Raw genomic sequence first — 25,896 nt, forward strand, 5'->3', positions numbered from 1 at the left:
GAAAATTAAATAAATCTGTTATATTTCACCTTAAAAAAGAGAAGAATACAACAGGGCACAATTGGGTCAGTAGATATTTATAATTCTTTTTCTCCCTTAATTTTTTATTTTGAAAAAGTTCAAACTACAGAAAAATTGCAGAAAGACTACAAAGTACAGTCTTATACCCATTACCTAGATTCACCAGTTACTCATCTTTTGCCACATTTGCTTTATTTCTCTCTACCTATGTACATACACATGTGTATATGCATACATAAGCATATTATTTATTGTTTCCTGATCTGACAGTGTCAGGCATCTTAATCTTTCACCTCTAAACATCTCAGCCATGTTTTTTCTAAGAACAATAACATCCTCTTGCTCTTCTACAAAATACAAAATTTGTTTTTAATTTTTCCAGAATCCTATTACCTGTGTTTTATCAGTATTCAAGAACAAAGGAAGCAGAGAGAGAAATTAATAGCAACCACCCACTTCCTAAGTTATTCACCACCCTGCATCTTCCAGAAGCCAAGTGGGAAAACAAAGAGGTTGATTTTTCAAACCAAATAAATACAAAGTAATTGATAGACAAGGCCCCATAGCATTAAGTAGGCCCAATTTCTTACTCTATCACGTATGGTTGAACTGTTTCTCTAAACTACTTTGTAGTGTGTGTCTTGTGTGTCAGGAAATAATGTATTTGTATTTATTTTCATGAATTAATAGACTTTCAGAGTTGGAAGGGCCTTACAATGTGTGTTGTATAACCCGTGCATTTTACAGATGAGAACTAAGATTCAAGGTCATGCAACTAGAGATGAGACTAGAATCTAGCCTTTGAAACTCAACGCATTGGTTTCTGCTATGTCATGTTTCCTCTCTATGAGCCCTAGTTGCTTATGCTGGGGTCTCGTTGAATAATGGTGAAGGGTCTGACAATACTGTTCCTAGCTAACTAATGCATCCCTTTGAACTTATTTGCGTGAACTATGGTAGTGCTTCTCAAACTTTAATGTTGCATGTGAATTTCCTGGTGACCTTGTTAAAATGCAGATTCTGATTCAGTAAGTCAGAGGTGGGGTTAGAGGTTAGAATCGACATTCTAACAAGCTCCCAGGTGATGCTGATGCCCCAGGTCCATGGACTACATTTCGAGTAGCCATTTTCTAGAACAAACACAGATTTCTCAGGCCCTAGGCATCATCAAAGTAGAAAAAAACACTTAAAAATATAAGCTACTTCAGTTCTATAAGGAATAGACACAAATGTAACTAACACCTGTTTATCCATCACCAAACCAAAATAAAATATTTTTAAAAGTGCTTTGTATTTTCCTAACTTTTATGGCACTTTAAGAAGGAAGTTTTATCTCAATATGTTATTATAGATGCAACTATTTCCCCAATATTGTTATGTCAGCAAATGCATTGAGATTCCACAGGCTTTAATGGCACTGTGTAAGGAAATATGAATTCAGGTGATGAAAAGAACCATTGCCAAACTGAACTGTCTATCAAAAAGGGCAGCCAAATGAAGTTCTATTTTTACTCTCAATAAAATTCTTTAAGCCAACTACATTTATTCATTTAACAGATACAGTACAGTGGTTCCCCCTCACCTGCTGTTTCACTTTTTGTGGTTTTCATTACCCACAGTCAGCTGTAGTCTGAAAATATTAAATGAAAAATTCTAGAAATAATTAAGTTTTAAATGGTGCACTGTCCTGAGTAGTATGGTGAGATCTCACACCATCCTACACTCTCCCACTCTGTCCCACCCAAGACGTAAATCATCCCACGTACAGTACAATAAGATATTTTAAGAGACCACATTTGTGTAACTTTTATTACAATATATTGTTGTAATTATTCTATTTTATTATTGTTAATCTCTTACTGTGCCTAATTTATAAATTAAACTTTATCCATAGGTATGTGTTTATATGAAAAAACATAGTTTGGTACTGTCAGTGGCTTCAGGCATCCATTGAGAGTCTTAGAACATATCCCTCACAGATAACGGGGGAATAGTTAGAGTTTCTGTTCCCATGGAGTTTACATTCTGACTTTATTCCCTTACATCTAAATCTGTATGCTGCTTTGAATTGCATAAATGATTGTTAAAAGGTACAAATGCTAGGTTTTATGTGACAATGAGTCCTTTAAGTAAAGATCTTTGCATTTGGGTTTTTAGTTTTTGAAAAGTAATAGTGAACAATACATTCAATGACCATCTCAATACAACACGGAATGCATTTGTACCTACATCAGTCAAAAATAAGCAGCCCTTTAATATATATGGAGAAATTTGTATTCTGTATCAAAAAATGCTTATGGAAATCATAATTACTTTTATTTATCAGAGTAGCTTAGCAGTAAAACAACAAATCTTCAAATGTTTTTTACATTGGTATCTAAAGAGATACTTTTTTAAAACCTTATATTTCTACCTTTAACATCATAAGATGTTTATTTTGCATATTATCTCTGTTTCTAGATAGTTGTGGTTTTTGAAATGTGTTATAGTAATTAAATTTTTTATGTTGAGTCAATCTCTTATGGATATTGAAGTTTTGAGTTTATATTTCTGTAGAATATTAGTCATTCAAGTGTTATCATGTTTATATTGTCACTTTCCTTAAGTGAAACCAGCCTTGTGAAATAGTTTTATTGTTATCATTGTTGCATTATTTTTAATTTAACAGATGAAGAAACAGAGACTTAGAAGTGGAAATTCAAGGTAGTGAGTTGTGGAAGTGGGCCCAAGTCTTCCCACTCCAGTGTTTTCCCCCACTATCCAATGTCCAGGGTTTAAAGCCACAGACCTTATTTAGTATATTGGTAGATTAGAAGTAGTAAATGTTGCTGATATGATGCTTCAACAACTTTACTGTATCAGGGATATAGAAAAAAACTGATCCCAAGTTGTGGAAGCTGTTATAGGTGTGTCTTGCATTAGACCAACTGAAATAGTTTACACTGCTAATTGGAGTATCCGTATAAGCACTGAATTTTGGAGACAGGTTTGGCAAAGTTGCTGAAACATGGGTACTCTGGTCTTAGAAAAGAAATTTTTGGAACATTATTGAAAGGGGTTCATTTTTTATAAGCATTCCATGTTGTGCTAAGGGAAATGTAACAGGGAGATACAAGTGGTCATATCCAAACTTAAGGCAGAGTGAGGCTATTTATAATAAGATTTTAGCCATGGACAAATATATAGATACAGTGTTCCATCTAAAGCTGTTTGATGTAGTTAATGTAGTTTAGTTTGAGGTAGCTAATAGGTGTTTGTTTCTTAATGAAATTAGATCCCAAGATTTTCTTAAAGGGAACTAGGTTAATAAGGAAATAACTTTCCCTCTCTTTCTCTTTCTCTCTCCCCCTGCCACTCCCTCCCTTCCTCCCCCTCAGCATTCCCCTTCCTTTAGCCTGATGTCTAACTGGCTGTGAATATTTGGGGGCTATTGACAGGTTATTTAGATTTGACAATCCTCCCAAGTTTCTGGAAGGAGTATACTGTTGAGTTTGCTCTTTTGAACTATGAAAGATGAATTAGGTATAGTTGAATAATTTATGATCATAGTAAGGAATTTAAAAGTAAATTTTGACTTGAATTTAATAATTTTCTGAGGACATAAAATATCTTTTTTATCATTCTAATTTTTATTGGCTTAAATCTTATGTTTTGGAGAAATAAAGTTACAGTGTTTTGTAACCTGACTCTAAATTGATAACACTAGGGATTAAGATCAAAGGTAAATGATTATAATACTGTGGCAGACGTTATACTTTCTTTTAGTTCCAAGTCCCTGATTTTCCTTAAAGTTCTCAAGTTACTTATTAAAGATATGGACTGGTACCAAAAGAATAAACTTGCTGTTTCTTTTCAAGGAACTATGGGAGCACCAAATCACCTTATTCATTTGGCACCAATATTTCTAGGGAGGCCGGGCGCCTTGGCTAATGCCTGTGATCCCAGCACTTTGGGAGGCCAGGGTGTGCAGATCACTTGAGTTCAGGAGTTCGAGACCAGCCAGGCCAACATGGTGAAACCCTGTCTCTACTAAAAAATATAAAAATTAGCCGGGTATGGTTGGTGCTCGCCTGTAGTCCCAGCTACTCGGGAGGCTGAGGCAGGAGAATTGCTTGAACCCAGGAGGCAGAGATTGCAGTGAGCCAAGATTGTGCTACTGCACTCCAGCCTGGGCAACAGAGAGAGACACTGTCTCAAAAAAAAAAAAAAAAAAAAGTTCCTAGAGATTTTCCCTTTCTCTGATAATTTTTGAAATACTTTCTAAATAATTAACTTTAATCTTTGTATCTGCCAAGATTTAACTTAATTAACTTTACTTAACTTTAATCTTGGTATCTGCCTATGAAATTTAAATATATAAATATCACATATCATTTGCCTGAATGTTTTTGCTGACTTTTCTTTCTTTTTTAACTTCTTGATATATTTTTCAAACTTTCAGCCTCAGTCAAATATTTATTAAAAGCTTCCAAGGAAAGTAAAGGGTAAAAAAAAAAAAACCTAAACAGTAAAGGAAAAAAACTTTTACAAACTTACTATTTTCTTGTGACATGTTAAAAATACAAAATTTAAACCATGAAATATTTTCAATTTAGGGGAATTATGGAAGAGTTTAGAATAGCAATGGTTCTTTGATCTTGAGCTCTTACAATTGCTTCCTTGGTTTTTGTTTTTTGTTTGTTGTTGCCATATTTCAAGGAAAAAAGGCAAGAGCAAAATAATTTTTGTTTTTGTTGTCTTTAGTAGATTCTAAGCTTCTGGAAAGTTTAAAGAAATAAAAGGACTTACATGTGTGTTTGTAAATACTTAATATGTAGTATTTTATAATTGCCAGTGTCATTATAGAAGTAGGCGGGAAGGACTTTGAGAAAGTGAGTTGTCCCAAAACTACAGAAACTGTTCTATAAGCAAGGATCAACAAACATTTTCTTAAAGGGCCAGATGGTAAATATTTGATACTTTGTGGGCCGTGTGGTCTCTGTTGCAGCTACTCAACTCTTGCAGCTATATACCAACCACTCAGTTTTGCTGTTGTGATGTGAAAGTAGTTGAGTGGGGTATAGAGAGTAAGTAAATGAATGAGCTTTGTTATGTTCTAATAAAATTTATTTACAAAAACAGGCAGCCAGCTTGCCAACCCATGTTCTATATCATCTAACAAATATTACTCATAACCAGCCATGTATTAATGTGGTTCACTGCCCCACAAAAACATCTTTTATTATTGTCAAGGATAATTTATGAACTCATAGAGGACAGAGGATTTCTGTTGTAAAACGGCCCAGTGTATGTATATTGAAGTGATATGATGGTTGGGATTTCCTTTTAAGAGATACGGAAGGGGAAAAACTGGGTGGCTGTAGATGAACTGAATTTGATAAAATGTTGATAAATATAGAAGCAGATGATAGGTTCATGAGATTTCTTCACACTGTGCTTCCTACTGTATGTGTCTGAAGATGTCAGTATTTAAAAGTTACTACATAAACAAATAATGGCCCAGTAAAGGCAGCAGTTTCTCCCTTCTCTTCTCACATCTTAGAATAGGAAGGAGAATAAGATAAAAATACAGACCCCATCTTCAGCACAACTAGGGAGATCTCTGCAATTCCAAAACACTAATTATATAAAGGAAGGTTGCCAGATCCAGTGAAGGTCAAGTAGAGGTGTGTGGGGAAACCCTGAGGAATGACACCTGTGGTCGCAGATCCCCAACAAAGCCAGCCAAACACAGTTCTCCAAAGGAAGCTGCCGACCTCAGACTTCTCCAAAGCAGTATTCAACACTGATTCTTTCCCTTCCAAATCCTCAAGGAAAGATTAATTTAGAAATTAACATGCCAAGCTGCAGGAAATTTAGCTCTCATGAGTCCTACTTCTACAGGAAGATGTGCAGCCAACCAAGAAATGAAAGGAGAAACTACAGCTAAAGTATTGGCAGTGAACATAGAGTCCATTGATCTATAGCATTAAGACTAAAACAAATGTGGAAATTAGATTTACAGAGAAGAATATGAATCGTTAAAACCTTGACAGTGCAGTAATGAAAGTCGGAAAGATGAGGAAATAAATGATGTTGTCATGTTTTATAACAACCTGTCAAAAGATGTCATTTGAAATCAGTAAATCTAGTAAAATCTTAAGATTGGGGTGGAGGGGAGTCTGTAGTTGATACATAGATACGTAGGTTAGAGCGAAAGGTAAATGCTAAGAGAAATAATCTAATAAACGAAACCGAATGGTAGAGGGAAAGAAAAAAGAAACATAGCTGTATTAATCATTGCTGACGATAGAGATAGGATTTTTATATGTTACAGTATATTTTATATAAAATTATAGTTATAACATAAACTATAAAATATAGGGTTGGTTTTTGTTTTGTTTTGTTTTGTTTTTTGCCTAACATGTATTTGATGAGGACTTGTTATTTGTCAAGCACTGTCAGTGACCAAAACAGATGAAAATTTTTGCTTCGTGGGTTGGAGGAGACAAAAATAAGTAAATAATTTGTTAAGAGGTGTTAAATGTATGGGGGGAAAATACAGCATAAAAGGATTCGGAGTACCCATTGATGAGATTGCTTTTTTTGAAGTGGATGAGTAGAGCAAATATTTGAAGGAACTGAGGGAGCCATGTAGTTATCTAGAGAAACAGTATTCTAAGCAAAGGTAATCGCTATTGCAAAGGCCCTGAAGCAAAAATGTAGCTGAGTTCAAGAAACAGGGAAGAGTCTAAAGGGGTAAAGCACAGTAATGTAGGAGGGAGAGTGGTAAGCGATGAAGTCAGAGATAATGGGATATCAGAGAATATTAGACTTTCAAAGGCCGTTAAAAGAACTTTGACTTTTACTCTGAAGTAACTACTAGAACAAAAAAGTAAGCCTTTCTTAAGGAATATATATATAACTAAAACAAAGCAAGCACAAATCTTTGAGTAATTTTATTTTAATGTTTTTTAAGAGATGAGGTCTCACTCTGTTGCCCAGGCTGGAGTGCAACGGCACGATCATAGATCACTGCAGCCTCTTCTAACTCCTGGGCTCAAGCAGTCCTCTCACTCAGCCTCCCAAAGTGCTGTGATTACCGGCGTGAACTACCATGCCTAGTCACTAGTAAAGTATTTTTACTTTAGAAAGCATAGCATAAAATTTCATAACTGATAAGAGATTACGTATGTATGTTATATTAATTAAAGTATGTAGGCTAATTCTCCTATTAAAACATTCCCAGATCAGATTACTAAGAAAATGAAAGCAAAGAAACTCAGAAAGGATAACAAAATTAAAGAACACACAAAGATGTAACAGGCATATGCAAACTCAAACGTGCAGGGATTGTGTTCCTAATATTGGACAAGACTTAGTCCAAAAACCATTACATGAGGAAAAAAGAGCCTACAGGATCTGCATGAAAACAACTTCAAAGTGCTTCTCAGAAATACAAACAGAGACTTAAATGGAAAGACTTAACAAGATTCTTTGGAAAAAATCAAAATCCTTTTTTAACCCATGAAGTTAATACCTCAAAACAAAACATAGCTAATATTTATTGAGAATTTACTCTATGCCAGGCATGTTCTAAGGACTTTACATGTATTACTCATTTAGTCCTCACAACTACTTTATATGGGTGATGTTAGTACCACTTTTTGCCCATTTTTCAGTGAAGAAACCAAGGCACAAAGAAGGTAATAACTTGCCCAAGAGTTGCAGTTAAAGTTACTGAACCACAAAATGAACTCAGGCAAGATTATTTCAGATTCTGTGCTTTTAACCACTACATGATACTGTTTTTTGAAACCAATAGCTATGTGTGTGTGTGTGTGTGTGTGTGTGTCTAGATAAACTGACTCTGAAGTTCATGTGGAGAAACAAATAAACAAGAATAGCTGGGAGTTGTCTTAAAGAAAAGTAATAAGGGAAAACTAGCCCTACCAGATACTGAAATAAGACTAGAATGTTAGTTAAAACAATGTGGCTACTAGAGCATGAACAGAATAGAATTTCAGAAGTAGATCCAAATTCATGTAATTATTTGGAAAATTATAAAGATAGCATTTCAAATAAGAAAGGAAAAGATGTATTATTCACTGTATGGGACAGCTATGTTGTCATTAGAGGGAAATTAGTTAGATTTCTACTTAGTAACTTTGACTAGAAGTAATTCCTAATGAATCAAAGATTTAAAACGAAACTAGCTGTGAGCCAAGTCTCAAGTAATTTTTAAATTATTTATTTAAATTGTTTATAAATGTCAGTCTTACATTTCTGCATGCTCTTTTAAGTTGAAACGAGATGGAAATTAATGATAGTCATACAAAGTCCATCAGCACAAAGAAAAATCATTTAGGACTCTGTGACAATGCACACCTTAATACAGCTTAGTAGATACTAAATGATTTTTCTTTGTGCTGATGGAATGGAATATGTCAGGCCTGAAGCTGGTATATTGGATTTTGTTCAGTTAATGCCTGCCCTTCCTCTTCCTTTGATACTTTTTGGGGTTGGGAAAGTAAAAGATACAAAGGAATAAATTAAGCATTTGGCAAGTGAGAAATGTATTCAGTATTCATTCTGAAACATGGTTTAGTTATGAGAACCTGAGTCCCAGATCCACATCCACAGTGATTGCTCTTCGAGGAAGTAGTAGAGGTGGATGTGAGTGTGAGTGATTTTTTCTAACACTCTGAAGCGGTCGTGATTAAGGACTCAACTAGTGAGGTTGCCTCTCCAGGTTTTTTAAAAAGGAGAGTGAACATAAAGACCAGATGCCTACTCAATAATAGTAAATTCTTGATACAGCTACTTAATAACTCTCATACCTGGTAAGAGATAGGAAGGAGACGCAGATCTGAAAGGTAACCGGAGGAAGAAAAAGCCAGAAAGTTTACTTGAGGCCTGGTAGCACCTAGAATCAATATTAAATGTTTTTAAAAGTACATAAAACATGATTTGTATAATTCTAATTTTGTTTAATGTAACATGTATACTTGTGTTTGTATATGTAAATGTGTTTGCATAAATCTTGAAAACATACCAAAATGTTCACCACTATTATTTCAGGATGATAGGAGTTTGAAAGACTTTTATTTTCTTTTATCTGTATTTTTAAAGTTTTCTACAAAGCATGCATATTACTTAAGTAATCATATGTATATATTTATTATATACACACACATAAGTATATGTTTGTTGTTCCATTCTGACAGTAGATGTATCTTTTGTGTTTTCTAGGTACACCAGAGGATCGCTTCCTGGCAGAATTTGGGAGCTGTTTATTGCAGCACTGTTGTGCCCTCTGATGGTGAGTTTCAGCAAATCCACCTTTTATGTCTAATATTATTTCCTTCTTAGCTCAGTGTTTCCTATTCTCTGACACAAAAATTTATAAACCATACTCTTTCAGTTAAGGTGGGCTTAGGGGTCAGAGAGAGAAAGGAGGAGAAGGAAAATAAAATTTGGATGAGAATCTAGTGAGTTTAGAGAAGAAACCAAGAAGAAACACTAAGTTCCATTAAGACTTTATAGGTTAAATGATCATTTATCTTTTATTTTTGAGATGGAGCCTTGGTCTGTCGCCCAGGTGGAGTGCAGTGGCGCGATCTCAGCTTAGTGCAGCCTCTGCCTCCTGGATTCAAGCAATTCTCCTGCCTCAGCCTCCCAAGCAGCTGGGACCAGGCGAGCACCACCATGCCCAACTAATTTTTGTATTTTTTGTAGAGACAGGGTTTCACCATGTTGGCCAGACTAGTCTCGAACCCACGTGATCCGCCCACCTCGGCCTCCCAAAGTGCTGGGATTATAGGCATGAGCCACTGTGCCCAGCCTCATTTATCTGTTAAAACTAGGGACATAGTTAATGTGAAGATCACAGAAGCACCATCTTTGGTGTTTTCTAACCATTGGGTCTTCACATTATGGATAATGATCAAACACTCCAGCCTCTTGTTGTATCAGAGCCTAGACAGAAGGAACTCAAAGTCTGAGACCTCCTGCTCTTGCTTATCTTTTTCCCTACTTAGGCATAGGACTGCAATACTCTTCTTTGATGTGGGAAGGGATAAACAGATGCTTGGAGACCAATGCAATCCTTCGTAAATGTCTATGATGCTATAAACTGGCGACAGGATCCAAACCTTTGTTGTTTTTATGGTAGTGGAGGGAGATGTGTTTACAACTCTTATTGTCATTTCTCTTACCCGGTATTGTGCATTTACAGTTTAGGTTGCTTAGTTTAGGGGTTGACTGTTAGATATGTTTCCTCTGTATAAAGTTTAGTTTGATAGAGCTCTGATTTCAACCTTAGAAACATTAATTCGTAAGCATAACAACCACTGAAAGAGCATCCTGCAAATTTACAAGGGTGCCTAAAACTAAAGAAGCCCAGAAAATGAATCATGAGAACACTAGAATCCCCAACATTTAGTCAGTATAATATTTGCAGTGTTATCAGAATCACCTCCCAAAGCTGTTACGTGAATTTATAGACAGTGTGCTCATATTTGCCAAATCTTCTAAATTTGGAAGAAAAATCCATTGTGATTACTCATTTGTAATATGGAAAGGTTAAAAAGGGGAAAATAGACCAAAATCAAAATAAGGAAAATATTAGCTGGCTCTCTGTTTCCAGTCTCTTAAAGACAAAAAACTAAAAATTAGTACCAATTAATGTATAAGTTAAAAAGCAGCACTTAGCACTGTGTTGTGGCCAGAAAGGTAGCTGTGTTGCCCCCAGTCAAGAGTCAGTATGTACCCAGATAACAGTACTTTCTACGTGGCCAAGAGCCAGAGGACCATAATGCCACCTGGCTATGCTACATATTCCTTTCCCTCCTTAAGCTCCTTCAATGCAGTGGGTGGGTATCTCTCTTCCTCTTGACACTGCTTGGTCCATTAAATAGCCAAATGGTGACTGTCCACATCTGTGCCAGCACCACTCCCAGGTTCTGACTTACTCCATTACCACTGCAGGGTGCCATCATTAGATAGTTTGAATAAAAAGAATTTCACTGTTAAAAAAAAAAAAGTTTACATTGCTGAATCCACTCAGTTTTGCTGAACTATTTCATTCAAAAATTTCTAGTATTTATGATAGTGTTTGAAATTGTCATATATTCAATATCCACATATATCAATATATATTCATAAAGAATATCAACCAAGTCACATGTTATACTACAGCTGGAAGGTCAAGTCCCATTGGTGGTTATGATATTTAGTGGCAATTAACTTGAACTAATGAATTCATATTGGAATTGATACTAATTTTGCTACTTATTACCGTTACTATTATCCTGTTATATATATCTATATATAGGCTGTGTTATGTATACCTATATTCTATCCATATGGAGATATTTCAGTAATTTAACAATGGTACAGTTATGTATACCTATATTCTATCCATATGGAGATATTTCAGTAATTTAACAATGGTACAGTTAGGCCAGATGTTATCAGAGGACATAAATGCTGATAGGTTGCCATTATGAGGGTTTGAAGGCAATATTATTTTTACAAAAGCTAAAAAGATACCAACTTAAGAAAAAAAAGAGTGTCTCCCCAAATTCCTACCAACACTATCCTTCTTAAGAAAACTAATTCATATTAGTTATCAAGAAATAAAAGCACAAAATTATTTGATTTAATGTAGCTTGATGTCCTTATTATATATCTTTCTAATTTTGTACTTCTAAGTTAATTTCACCTTAGGTCAGTATAGCATGTGAGAAAACTGCTTAATCCACAGCTACTCCAATAAGTAGAGTTTGGTCACCAGTAACAGAAATTTCTACCATCACTCCCTGCTCTTTGTTGTGACTGTTGGTCATCTTCAGTATTAAATGAGGGCTTGACCCTCAGTTTTTAGAAGTATAAGGTCTAAAATATCATATCCTATAATTATGGTATTATATGCTTAGTAAATATACCTATATATACTGCTTTTCAGTAATTGCTTGTTAATTATGTTAGTTGACGAATCTGGTTATGACGGTAACAGCTGATAATAAAATATGTAGATTATCTTAAATGCTTACCTCTCTAACAAAGCAATCTAACAGGTTCTAGATTTTTTTTTTTTTGGTATCGTAAATACTTATGAGAATCTATTGAAAGTTCTAGACCCTTTCTCTAGAAGAATTTATATAAACATAGGAAATTTTGCATACAATTTTATAGTGATACAGATTCCCCTAGACCAAACCATGGAACAAACACATACTCATACTCACACCCATGTTTGCTTTCATGAGAGGCAATCTGCTTAAATGTTTAGAGTGTAAGCTTTGGAGACAAGCAGACCTAGGTTTATATCCCAGTTCTACCACTTAACCTCCTTATAACCCCCGGTAAGTAATAAGTCAAAGCCTGTTTCCTCATTCGTGAAATGTAGATAGTAATAGTTAACACCTCCAACAGAAAAATGTAGAAACAGTACTTATTCTGTAAGGAGTGGTTGTGGTAGTGCTAAAGACCTCAAATCTAAAACACGTGGTCTTAGACTTCTCATTTTAATTTCTCTGTGCCCCAGATCCTCAACTGTAAAATGACTGATAGTAAAATTTTTATGGTTATATGGTTTATACTTACTTGAAGTCTTTAAAGCCTCCAGGGGTTTCCCTTCATGTTAGTGGAAGTTAAGGATGTGGATAATTCTGCTGTAGACAGTTTGTATAATTTATCATCCAACTCAGAACACTTTTGAGAGTGAAAGGAGATGCCCAATACTGGTTTTTTTTTTTTTTTTTTTGAGACCGAGTCTCACTCTGTCGCCAGGCTGGAGTGCAGTGGCGCAATCTCGGCTCACTGCAACTTCCGCCTCCCGGGTTCAAGTGATTCTCCTGCCTCAGCCTCCCGAGTAGCTGGGACTACAGGCGCTCACTACCACGCCTGGCTAATTTTTTTTTTTGTATATTTAGTAGAGACGGGGTTTCACTGTGTTGGCCAGGATGGTCTCGATCTCTTGACCTTGTGATCCACCCGCCTCAGCCTACCAAAGTGTTGGGATTACAGGTGTGAGCCACCGCGCCCGGCTGCCAAATACTTTTTAATAGTGTAGACCAGGACCTATCTTCACTCTAGCTATTGGGAAAGTGTGAAAGGTGAACTAGAGAAAGAACAAGAAAAATAGCCTTATCTAGCTGCTTTTATTTTTTTATCCAGAAATGTAATCCTACTCAATTTGCCTTGTATTAAGAATTGCTAGGGCCAGGCATGGTGGCTCATGCCTGTAAACCCAGCACTTTGGGAGGCCAAGGCAGGAGGATCTCTTGAGCTCAGGAGTTCAAGACCAGCCTGGGCAACATAGACCTCATCTCTACTAAAAAATACAAAAATTAGCTGGGCGTGGTGGCATGTGCCTGTTGTCCCAGCTACTTGGGAGGCTAAGGTGGGAGGATTGCTTGAGCCCAAGGAGGTCAAGGCTGCAATGAGGTGGGAAGTCAAGGCGACAGTGAGCTTTGACTGCTCACTGCTCCCTCCTGAACGACAGAGTCAGACCTTGTCTCACACACACAAAAAAAAAGAGTGAGAGAGAATTGCTAGAGAGTTGTTATGTTTATCTTGTACTTAACAAAAGATACAAGATTTCCCTACAAAAATTGTTTGCGGGCAAATAATTTTAATAATGAAAGTATCTGAAAATTCCTGTTTAATTAATAAACAATCATCTGTTTAGTCAACCCAAGTAATAGATAATATATAAATTCGAAACCTAAGGTCTGTGCATGGTTTTGGGAACCAGATACATGCTCCAGCTTTTTTTGTTTGTTTTCTGTCCTGCTACTTTTTAAAGAAGCTTTACTGAGCTATATTTCACATACCATAAAATTTACCCATCATTGTACATCTGTCACAACAAATCATCTATTTTTTTTTTTTTTGAGACGGAGTCCCGCTCCATCACCCAGGCTGGAGTGCAGTGGTGCGGTCTTGGCTCACTGCAACCTCTGCCTCCTGGGTTCAAGCAATTCTCGTGCCTCAGCCTCCCTAGCAGCTGGGATTACAAGCACGCACCATCACGCCCGACTGATTTTTGTATTTTTAGTAGAGAGGGGGTTTCACCATGTTGGCCACGCTGGTCTCGAACTCCTGACCTCAGGTGATCCACCCACCTCAGTCTCACAAAGTGCTGGGATTACAGGGGTGAGCCACTGTGGCTGGCCACAACAATCCATCTTTGGACCGCTTGCTTGTTTGTCAGTTGATAGGGTAGCAAATTTTTTTTTTTAAGTTCCCCAGTTCTAATCTTCACTCACACCCTCAACCCCAGGTAACCACTAATTTGCTCTCTGTCTCTGTAGTTAAACCTTTTCCAAAAATGTCGTATAAATGGACTCATACAATATGTAGTCTTTCGCATCTAGCTTCTTTTACACAGCACAGTGCTTTCAAGGCTTATCCATGTTGTAGTGTGTATTCGTAGGTCTTTATTTTTATTGCTGGGTAGTATTCCGGTATATGGAAATATCACATTTCTTTATTCATTCACCAAATGAGGGACATTAGGATTGTTTTCCATTTTGAACTATTAAAAATAATGCTGGTGGCCGGGCACAGTGGCTCACACCTGTAATCCCAGCACTTTGGGAGGCTGAGGCGGGCAGATCATGAGGTCAGGAGATCGAGACTGTCCTGGCTAACACGGTAAAACCCTGTCTCTACTAAGAATACAAAAAAAAAAAAAAAAATTAGCCGGGTGTGGTGGCAGGAGCCTGTAGTCCCAACTACTCAGGAGGCTGAGGCTGGGGAATGGCGTGAACCCAGGAGGCGGAGCTTGCTGTGAGCTGAGATCACGCCACTGCACTCCAGCCTGGGTGACAAAGCGAGACTCCGTCTCAAAAAAAAAAAAAAAAAAAAAAAAGCTGCTGCTGGCATTTGCCTGTAAGTCTTTGTATGGACATGTTTTCATTCTTCTTGGATAGATACTTATGAATGGAATGGTTGGGTTATATTGTAGGTATATGCTTAATTTTTTAAAAAACTGAAAACTGTTTTCCAAAGTGACTGTACCACTTTACATTCCCACCAGCAGTACATCAGTGTGACAGTCTCCCTACATCCTCCCCAACTTTGGTACAATCAATCTTGATTATAGACACTCTAATGGATGTGTAATATTACTTCATTGTGGTTTTAATTTGGATTTCACTGATAATTAATGATATTGAACATCTTTTCATGTGTTTATTAACCATTCAGATATTTTATTTAGTGAAGTGTCTATTCAAAGGACCTTTTGAAAACATTTGACTATTTATCTTCTTATTATTGAGTTGTAAGTGTTCTTTATATAGTCTAGAGTTTTTCTTGTGAGTTTTAAAAATAGTTTGGAGGGAAAGGGGACAAATGTTATTAATGACTTTTTTGTCAAGTCATGTTAGTAACTGTTGTACACAGTTGGAAATTCTGTGTCATTATTGTATTGAGGACACATACATACCCAACCACTATACCCCACCACTATATATCTTTCATTCCAACTTTAAAAAGACTTGACAACAAAAAAGAAATGAAGCATTAAAGCTACTTAATCACCAAAAATCCAAAAATTATAGGGCACACAGAGCCTAAGTATTTTAATGTGGCAGAGTTCTCACCAACTTAAATACAAAGTTGTGAAAACAGAAGCACCTTATATTTTTTTATTTTAAAAATATATGCAACAGTTCAGATTTTTTTTGTAAGTAGTAATTACAGTTTGAAACTTTACCAAAATGTGGATGAACTTGTTTCATCACAGAACTCTTTTCTTGAAGGATTCTTCAAGATTGACTTTTATAGAAAAGTCAACCAAGAAAAGAAGCCACATGAAATTGGAAAGACCTTTAAGCTTTATGTGCTGACAGTGAACTACTTCGCTTGGAGCAGAAGCAAATTTATGTCAGATTTCAGATCCACTTCAGGATTGTCATCATTTTTTCCAATATTTTGAAGTGAATTTTGAGGGAATTGGAAACTAACTCATTTTCCTCCAGAATGCAGCTTGATGAAAATAACTGATACTGTTCAAAGCAGTTAGTTCCTAGTTTTTGTCTGTTAACATGCATGTTGACACAATTAAAGAAAAATTCCTAATATCCAGGTCTCTTGTGAAAATTACAAAGGCTGTTAATATTAATGGCTACCGGCATCTCTGACAGACTGTTAAATTTCTTTGCCAAAATAACTACCAGAAAAAAAAAATTTTTTTTTTGAGATGGAGTTTTGCTCTTGTCACCAGGCTGAAGTGCAATGGCACTCAGCTCACTGCAACCTCCTTCTCCCAGGTTCAAGTGATTCTCCTGCCTCAGCCTCCCGAGTAGCCGGGGTTACAGGCACCCGCCACCATGCCTGGCTAATTCTTGTATTTTTATTAGAGATGGGGTTTCACCGTGTTGGCCAGGCTGTTCTCAAACTCCTGACCTCAGGTGATCCACCCACCTCAGCCTCCCAAAGTTCTGGGATTACAGGCGTGAACCACCGCGCCTGACCCCAAAAAAATTTTTGACTGTAATGAAGATCTTAGTACTCTGCACAGATGGTGCATCTTCCAAACTTAGCAATGTGCACGCTTATACTGCCTCAGAGGAGAAAGCAGCTCCACCCATTGTAATAATTCATTGCTTTTCTTTCACTGGCACATCCTGGCTTTGAAGACTCTTAGGCCTAAAAGTTTTGCCTGCTACCCCAGAAGTAATCAGTTTCATGAGAACAGGTTTTTATCAAACAAAAGGATAAAAATTTAAAATCTTCCTTTGCTTGATTAAATTTGGCAGGAGTTTTGCTTTTTAAGAGAAAAGAAAGATTAGTACAGGAGGAGTTTAATCATGGCTTGATTTACTTGGGGATATTTCGGGCTTTATGAATGAGTAATCTAATTCAAGACCTTATAGTTGTTGTTATGGATTTGGCAGAAAAATCATAAACTCTTAGCCAAGCTATTGCTCTGAGTAAGGTAAAGCCAGGAGTTTGAGACCAGCCTAGGCAACATGGTGAAACCGTCTCTACTAAAAATACAAAAAATTAGCTGGGCGTGGTGGCGCACACCTGTAGTCCTATAGTCCTGTAGACATGGACAACCATGTGAATTTTCTACTACTTGAAGTATCTCTGTAGGCCAGTCATGAATGAAAAGTTTTGTCAGTTTCTCTGTAGGCATATAGAAAAACCGCAGAGATCTTAAGGATTACCTCCACACAGAAAACCTCACAAATGAAACTTGGATTTATAATCTTTTCACTTTTGATATTGTATTGAGTAGTGTTATGAAATAATTCTCAGACAATTCTTAGTTTCCTTGCACAAGCCTAACCTAGCATCATTTCTCAAAGTGAGCTGTGATTCTATTTGTTACCATGTACCTTTCTCGGAATTTTCAGTACCACTTTTCATCAAAACAGAAAGTACACAACCTTTTGGATATCAAAGATAATATTCAATTTACCATGTTCCAAAACTAGGGCAGTATGTGACTTCTTTAGTCAAGCTAAACAATAGCAGCTTGTAATTTACATGTTCTTTCCTCTTGAATTAACATTTATTTTCTGTTTAATTTGTATATTTTATTTCTTTTTAAAAACCAGGAAATGGCCATTAATTTTGGTTCAAAACTGAGGGAAAGAATCCTTCAGGTTTTGTAAACATTTATTTTTAAAATATGGCAATATGAAGAAAATCAGTTTCCAGTGCAATAATAATTGCATTGGAATAAAATAATTTATTTTATAAATAGTAAATATAATTATAAAATTATAAATAAAATAATTTATTTTATAAATTATATCTAAAATTTTCATGTATAAACTGTTTGGATTTTTTCAGGAAATGTTGAGGAAGAAGTTCATCCATAGCTTTATCAGATTCTCAGAGGTTAATTAACCAAAAATACTAAAAAGCAGACTTTTTTAAGAGCAGTTTTATGTTCACATCCCAAATGAGAGAAGTGTACAGAAATATCCTATATATTCCCTGCCCCCAAATCCTTGCATAGTCTCCCCATGAGAGGGATACATTTGTTGTAACTGATGAGCCTGCATTGACGCATCATTACAACCCCAAGTCCATAATTTTCGTTAGGGTTTACGCTTGGTGTTTTACATCCTGTGGGTTTTGGGCAAATGTATATATGACATGTATCCACTGTTATAGTATCACACAGAGGAGTTTCACCACCCTAAAAATCCTCTGTGCTCTATCTATTCATGTCTCCCTTCTCCCTAACTCCTGGCAGGCAGGTACTAATCTTTTATTATCTCCATAATTTTACCTTTTCCAGAATGTCTTATGGTAGGAATCATACAGCATGTAGCCTTTTCTGATTGACATCTTTCACTTAGTAAGATACATTTAAGTTTTCTCTATGTCTTTTTATGGCTTGATAGCTCATTTCTTTTTAGCACTGAATAATAGTCTGTTATCTGGGTGTACCACAATTTGTCCACTTGCCTACTGAAGGACATCTTGGTTGCTTCCAAGTTTTGGCAGTTATGAATAAAGCTACTACAAACATCTGTGTGCAAGTTTTTATATGGGCATTTTTTAGCTCCTTTGGATAAATACAGAGAATTGTGGTTGGTAGCAATATGTTTATTTTTGTAAGAAAACACCAAACCGTCTACCAAAGTGGTTGTACTATTTTGTATTCCGAACAGTAATGAATGAGAGTTCCTGTTGCTTCACATCCTTGCCAGCATTTGATGTTTAACTTACAGTCTTTTCCCCTTGTTTAAACTCAGTGGAAGCAGTCATTTTTCTTCTCTTGACATTTAAAGAAAATTTTAATTATTTTACATATTTAAGTATATTTTTCTGAGATTATTGTGAAGCAAACACATTTTGTTTATACATATTAATTATAGATATTCTGTCAGGTGCAGCAGCTCACACCTGTAATCCTAGCACTTCGGGAGGCCAAGGCAGGTTGATCACCTGAGTTCAGGAGATTGAGACCAGCCTAGGCAACTTGGTAAAACCATCTCTACTAAAAATACAAAAAATTAGTCTGGGTGTGGTGGCTCATGCCTGCAATCTCAGTACTTTGCGGGGCCAAGGCGGGCAGATCACCTTAGGTCAGGAGTTCGAGACCAGCCTGGCCAACATGGCAAAACACTATCGCTACTAAAAATATAAAAATTAGCTGGGTGTGGTGGTGGGCACCTGTAATTCCAGTTACTCAGGAGGCTGAGGCAGAAGAATCGCTTGAACCCGGGAGGCAGAGGTTGCAGTGAGCCACGATTGTGCCACTGCATTCCAGCCTGGGCAACAGAGCAAGACTCCATCTCAAAAAAAATGTAAAAAAATAGAAATACAAAAAATTAGCTGGGCATGGAGGCATACACCTGTAGTTGTAGCTACTCAGGAGGCTGAGGCAGGAGGATCTCTTAAACCTGGGAGGTCAAGGCTGCAGTGAGCCCTGATCATGCCACTGCACTCCAGCCTGGGTGACAAGAATGCGACTCTGTCTCAAAAAATATATATATATAGATATTCTGAGGATATTTTTGCGGTAATGTATAAGGAAGCTCCTTATTGTCACCAAAGTAGATAGATATTTAGTTTATTCTATTAAAATGACAATCTTATATTTTGTCTAACATATAATTTAACAAAAAAGCATATAGACTTTTGGAATTATCCTTAGGAATATAAGTGATTGTTAAATTACTTGAGGGCATCTAGGCATGAAACTAGTAAAAATAAAATGTAAGACATTTATTGAGAATAATAAACTTTATTGAAGGACATAAGATAGGAATAAATGCAGAGTTATACCATGTTAATAGATATGAAGAATGAATTTATAAACTCAATGCAATGCTAATCAAAACCCCAGTAGGAGCTGATCAACTTACTTAAAAATTCACATGAAAGAGTAAAGCTATATAAAAAACTAAGATAAATTTGGAATAGGAAAACAAGGGGGCATGTGGTACCTAAGCACATATTAAGATGTATTTCTAAAACTATAATAATCAAAACAATGAAGTATTAGTATAGGAAAGATTGTTGGATCAGATTAGAGGAAGCTTGCATATATAGAAATCTGACATGTGATTGATTAGCATTGTAAAGCCAAGGAGAAAGGGCAGACTATTTAATAAATGGTGCTATTACAGTCAACTTCTCTACATTACAAAAATAAGTAAGTTCCAGATGAATTAAGGAGTAAAATGTGAAACACAAGGCTCTAAAAGGAAATAAAAATTTACATCAGAAACTAAAAACATTGAGTAGTGCTACTTTCTCTTAGCCTTATTTTTATTTATAATAGGGGGAAAATCTGGTTTTTCGATATATAAATTACGGTATACAGTCATGCATGTACTGAATAACAACAATGTTTCAGTCAACAATGGGCCACATATGTGATGTTGGTCCCAAAAGAGTATAATACTGTATTTTTACTGCACCTTTTCTGTGTTCAGAAATGTTTAGATATACAAATACTTACCACTGTGTTACAGTTGCTGACAGTATTCAGCACAGTAACATGGTATACAGGTTTGTAGCCTAAGAGCAATACCTAGATACCTACTAGGTGTGTAGTAGGCTATACCTTCTAGGTTTTGTAAATATTATCTATGATGTTCACACAGTGACAGAATCACCTAATGATGCATTTCTCAGAATGTATCCCTGTCGTTAAGCAATGTATTCATAGAATGAAATTCTATATAGGAGTGTTTTTTTCTTTTTTTAAAATTTACCACTTCCTTATATATAGGAGTTTAAGTGAATATTTCCAGAAATACGATCCAACTTTGATAAACCTCAAAGCAATGATTATCATAAAAGGCAAGTTTTAGAGGTTTGTATACACCATGATCCTTTATATATAGGAGTCTCCCCTCCACCCCTTTTTCCATGGCTTCACTTTCCATAGTTTCAGTTACCCACAGGCAACCGCAGTCTGAAAATATTAAATGGAAAATTCCAGAAATAAACAATTTTTTTTTTTGAGACAGAGTCTTGCTCTGTCACAGGCTGGAGTGCAGTGGTGCAATATCAGCTCACTGCAACCTCTGCCTCCCAGGTTCAAGCACTTCTCCTGCCTCAGTCTCCCGAGTAGCTGGGATTACAGGTGCCTGCCACCACACCCAGCTAATATTTGTATTTTCAGCAGAGACAGGGTTTCACCATGTTGGCCAGGCTGGTCTCAAACTCCTGCCCTCAAGTGATCTGCCTGCATCAGCTTCCCGAAGTGCTGGGATCACAGGTGTGAGCCACTGCACGCGGCCCAATTAATAAGTTTTAAATTGTATGCTATTCTGAGTAGTGTGATGAAATTTTGTGCTCTCCTGCTCAGTCCCACCTGGGATGTGAATCATCCCTTTGTTCCGCATATCCATGCTTTATATGCTACTCGCGCATTAGTCACTTAGTAGCTGTTTCAGTTACCGGATTGACTGTTGTAGTACTGCAGCAGTTGTGGTCAAGTAACCCTTATTTTACTTAATACTAACCCCCCATGTACAAGAGTAGTGATGCTGGCATGTTGTTTTAATTGTTCTATTTTTTTCTTAGTTCTTTCTGATAATCTCTTATTTTGCCTAATTTATAAATTAAACTTAAAAAAATTTTTTTTCTTCTTTTTTGAAAATGAAAATGTTTGACTGGCCTGGGAAGGCTCCTCCCACCCCTCAAAGCCAGAGCTAACAAAGTTGTTCCCTTTAGGGTCCAGATGGAGGGAACCAGGATAGGGACTGGGAAGGGACCAGGAAGCAATGAAGGGAAGGAGTGGAAAGGAATAATCCAAATGGAGAGGAATAAAGCCTCCAAAATCTACCTAAAAGTAGGAGATCTTAGATCCAGGGAAACTTCCTCCCAGTGTGGTCAGGGAGACAGCTGAGCTTTAGATGTCAGTGTATTGATTTCCTTTTTTATTGAGACGAAGTCTCACCCTGTCGCCCGGGCTGGAGTGCAGTGGTGCAAACTGGGCTCACTGCAACCTCCGCCTCCCGGGTTCAAGCGATTCTTCTGCCTCAGCCTCCCAAGTAACAGGGACTACAGGCACACGCCACCATGCCCAGCTAATTTTTTGCACTTTTTCACTAGAGACGGAGTTTTGCCATGTTGGCCAGGGTGATCTAGAACTCCTGACCTCAAGTAATCTGCCCGACTCGGCCTCCCAAAGTGCTGGGATTTAAGGCATGAGCCACCGCACCTGTCCTGTATAATGATTTCTGATCAAGTTGGGGGAACCTGGGGTTCTCCACAGATCCCATCCTCATAGGCCACTCGTGTCAACTGAAGAATTCCAAGGTTTATAAATTTGGAAAGGAGAACTTCATTTCTCATAAAGGGTTGCAACCTTCAGGGTGGCCATTCTAACAGGCTGGGAAGCATAGCCCCCAGTCAAAAGCCAGAAATAGGTAGTTCCTCAACTTTATCATAGGTATGTATGTATAGCAAAAAAAATACTATATATAGGGTTCTGTACTATCTGCAGCTGGGTATTCACTGAGAGTCTTAGAACATATCCTCCATGTATAGGAGATATTACTATAAAATATAAATATATGCAAAGTCATACTATATTTGGTTATTTAATACTGTACAGCAAATTACAACAAAGGGGCATAAACTAATCTTTTATTATCTCTCATGTTTCTGTGGATTAGGGATTTAGGAATAGTTTGGCTGAGCAGTTTGTAGTCTTTTGAGGGTGCAGCCCCATGTCAGTCAGGGCCTTAATCATCTGGCTTGACTGAGGCCGGAAGATCTGATTCTAAGGTGACTCACTAACATGGTTGACAAGTTTACTTTTGGTCAAGAAGGTACCACTTCTCCATGTGGGCTTCTCCATAGGGCTGCAGGATTGTCCTCATGATATGATGACCGGCTTCCCCTAGAGCAAGTGTACAAGAGACCAAAGCAGAAGTAAAGCCTATTATGACATAGTCTTGGAAGTACACATCATCACTTCAGCTGTATCATATTGGTTCTGCAGACCAGCCCTGATTTGATGTGGGTGACACTACACAGGGCATGAATATAGACAATCCCTGACTTCTGATGGTTCAACTTATGGTTTTTTGACTTTATGATGGATTTGTTGGAGTAGTAAATGCATTTTTTGACTTACAGTGGGTTTATGCAGAGGTAATCTCATCATAAGTCAAGAGGCATCTATACTATCTTAGTCCATTTCTTTGCTGCTATATCAATTGCAAACTGAGTAATTTATGAAGAAAAGATTGATTTGGCTTACAGTTCTGGGAAATCCAAGATCGAGGAGTCCATCTAGTGAGGGTCTTCTTGCTGCATTGTAACATGTCAGAAGGCATCACATGGTGAGGAAGTGTGCACAGAAGACAGAGAGGGGAAATTGACTTGAACTCACCGTTTTTGGGAGTGGATTTTATCAGGAATCCACTCCCCCAGTAACTAACCCACTCCTATGATAATGGCAAAAATCCAGTTATGGGGCAGAGCCTTCATGACCTAATCACCTCTTAAAGGTCCTGCCTCTCAACACTGTTAAAGTGGCAATTAAATTTCAAGGTGAGTTTTGGAGGAGACATTCAAACCATAGCAAATACTTACAGGCAAGAATTATAGAGAGCCTTCTTGAAGGCTGGCTATCACAGTACTAAATATTGTGTATTGAGATATATGTTTGTGTATGTGTGTGTGTGTGTCTGCCTGTGCGTGTGTGTATGTATAAATGGATGGAAATGGTAAACACCAACTACCAACTTCAGGATAGTGGCTTCATTTGGAAAAAGATCACCCTGCTTCAGTGTGGAAAATTGAACTGGAGCAAGGCTGGAATTAAGGACTCCAATTACAATGTAGCTGATAGAAGAAAGAGATGGTGGTGGCCTGGACTAAAATGGTGGTAGTGTAGACAGTATCAGAGGGCTTAGAGCTGTTTAAAAAATAGAATGAAAGGGCCGGGGTTGGTGGCTCACACCTGTAATCCCAGCACTTTGGGAGGCCGAGACGGGTGGATCACGAGGTCAGGCATTCGAGACCAGCCTGGCCAACATAGTGAAACCATGTCTCTACTAAAAATACAAAAAAATTAGCCGGGCATGGTGGCAGGCACCTGTAATCCCAGCTACTCGGGAGGCTGAGGCAGGAGAATCGCTTGAGCCTGGGAGGCGCAGGTTGCCGTGAGCTGAGATTCTGCCACTGCACTCCAGCGTGGGTGATAGAGCAAGACTCCAAAAAAAAAAAAAAAAAAAATCGAATGAAAGCACATGATGACTGATAAGATATGAGGAATGTCAGATTCTGGCTCTATGAATAGTCAAGGATGCCAGGTAATTTTCTGGCTTGGTCAAAAATAAAATAATGGTGGTGTTATTGGTTGAGATTATGGGTGGTTAGGGAAGATGGATTCACTTTTAGGACTTTTGAGTTTCAGTTATGGCTGTGGGAGACCCAATTTCTAGCAGACAATTGAATATAGGCTTGGGATATCATCAGCATTTACATGAGACTTTGGGAGGACGTGAGATTTCCTAGAGAGTGTGTGAATTGAGAAGCACAGAGGCCTAGGACAAAGCACTTAGAAACTTTTAAGGGATGAATAGAGGAAGAATAGCTTATGAGGGGAAATTAGAAGGTCTAGACAGAAAGAAAAGCTAGAAGCATCATAGAAGCTGGTGGGGAAACTTTTTACAAAGGGAGGGAGTCGTTAACATCATTAGATACTGCTAAAACAAGCAAGTTAAGAGCTAAAATTTCTACTGAATTTAGCAACCTAATGTCATGTGTGACCTAGAAGAGGATTTCTTAGTCAAATGATGAGATCCAAATTGCATTGGATTGAACTCTGTGACCTTAGCAGTATTATCTTTTTCTTTTTTTTTTTTTTTTAGACAGAATTTTGCTCTTGTTGCCCAGGCTGGAGTGCAGTGGCACGATCTCAGCTCACTGCAACCTCCGCCTCCCAGGTTCAAGTAATTCTCTTGCCTCAGGTGCCTGAATAGCTAGGATTACAGGTGTCTGCCACCACACCCAGCTAATTTTTTGTATTTTTAGTAGAGATGGAGTTTCACCATGTTGGCCAGACTGGTCTCGAACTCCTGACCTCAGGTGAGCCACCGCGCCTGGCCCAGGAATATTATCTAACGTTACTAGACTCTGTTATTCTTAGCTGCAAAAGAAGGATGTTAGTTTGTATGATCTGTCTGGCCTTCCAACACTGAAATTCTATGATTATATCTCACACTTATGATGCAGAATATTACAGAAAATGGGGAGGAAATCGACAATGTTAAGATCATAAGCCCCTGAAATCATCCATCATATATAGTTCTACTCCAAGTAGCTTTGCGGAAAAACCCCAACATGTGCTTCCTTGTGTACCAAGTCCCTTTCATAATAAGCCCTCAAGATATATACAGGTGATATATTTTAGTGGAGATTTTACTCATTGTTTTGAACACCAGCCAAACTTCATACTATATATTTTTACAAGCATTTAAAAAATATTTTACAAAATAACAAGCATTTGTATTTTATGACTGTTTTTTTCAACTCCTGATGCCTCAAAGGCATTTTTAAAATATGTATTCCTTCTTCAAATGCAATTGTTTGTAGTTCCTGCACTACTCTTCTTAGTCTGCACAATTCCGCATCTTTTGGTTTTTATGCCTAAATCTGTTATCATGTTCTAGCTCTAAGTATTCATGTTGAATGCTCCATAATTTCTAGGCTTTTTTTGAAGCACACTGCTCTGGAACATACTTATATTATTTCTTACTTTATTCACATGGAAATCAAAGCAAAAGATTAAAAAATTCAACCAAACAGCCACTTGATGCAATTTATACTTTAAAAGAATATTTTTTATCTAGGTAATAGTAGCTGACAACTGTCATTAGCTTATGAATACCCATTGTGACTTCGCTACAGCCAGCTGTTTATTGTTTATATTGTGAAACT

General features: G+C 37.2%; 1 protein-coding gene across 4 annotated transcripts in view; it reads left to right on the forward strand.

Annotated features, from left to right (window-relative positions):
- Positions 1-25,896, forward strand: part of MCU (mitochondrial calcium uniporter) — a 195,552-nt gene that overhangs the window by 132,964 nt on the left and 36,692 nt on the right. For all 4 annotated transcript variants that reach the window (NR_073062.2, NM_001270679.2, NM_138357.3 and 1 more), the window contains one exon: positions 9,253-9,322. Coding sequence is in view for 3 of the 4 variants with exons in the window: in NM_001270679.2 (NP_001257608.1) it covers positions 9,253-9,322 (70 nt within the window). In the remaining variant the exon portion in view is untranslated. The remainder of the gene's footprint in view (positions 1-9,252; positions 9,323-25,896) is intronic.

The sequence above is a fragment of the Homo sapiens genome, chromosome 10, assembly GCF_000001405.40.
Source record: "Homo sapiens chromosome 10, GRCh38.p14 Primary Assembly".
Taxonomy (NCBI): domain Eukaryota; kingdom Metazoa; phylum Chordata; class Mammalia; order Primates; family Hominidae; genus Homo; species Homo sapiens.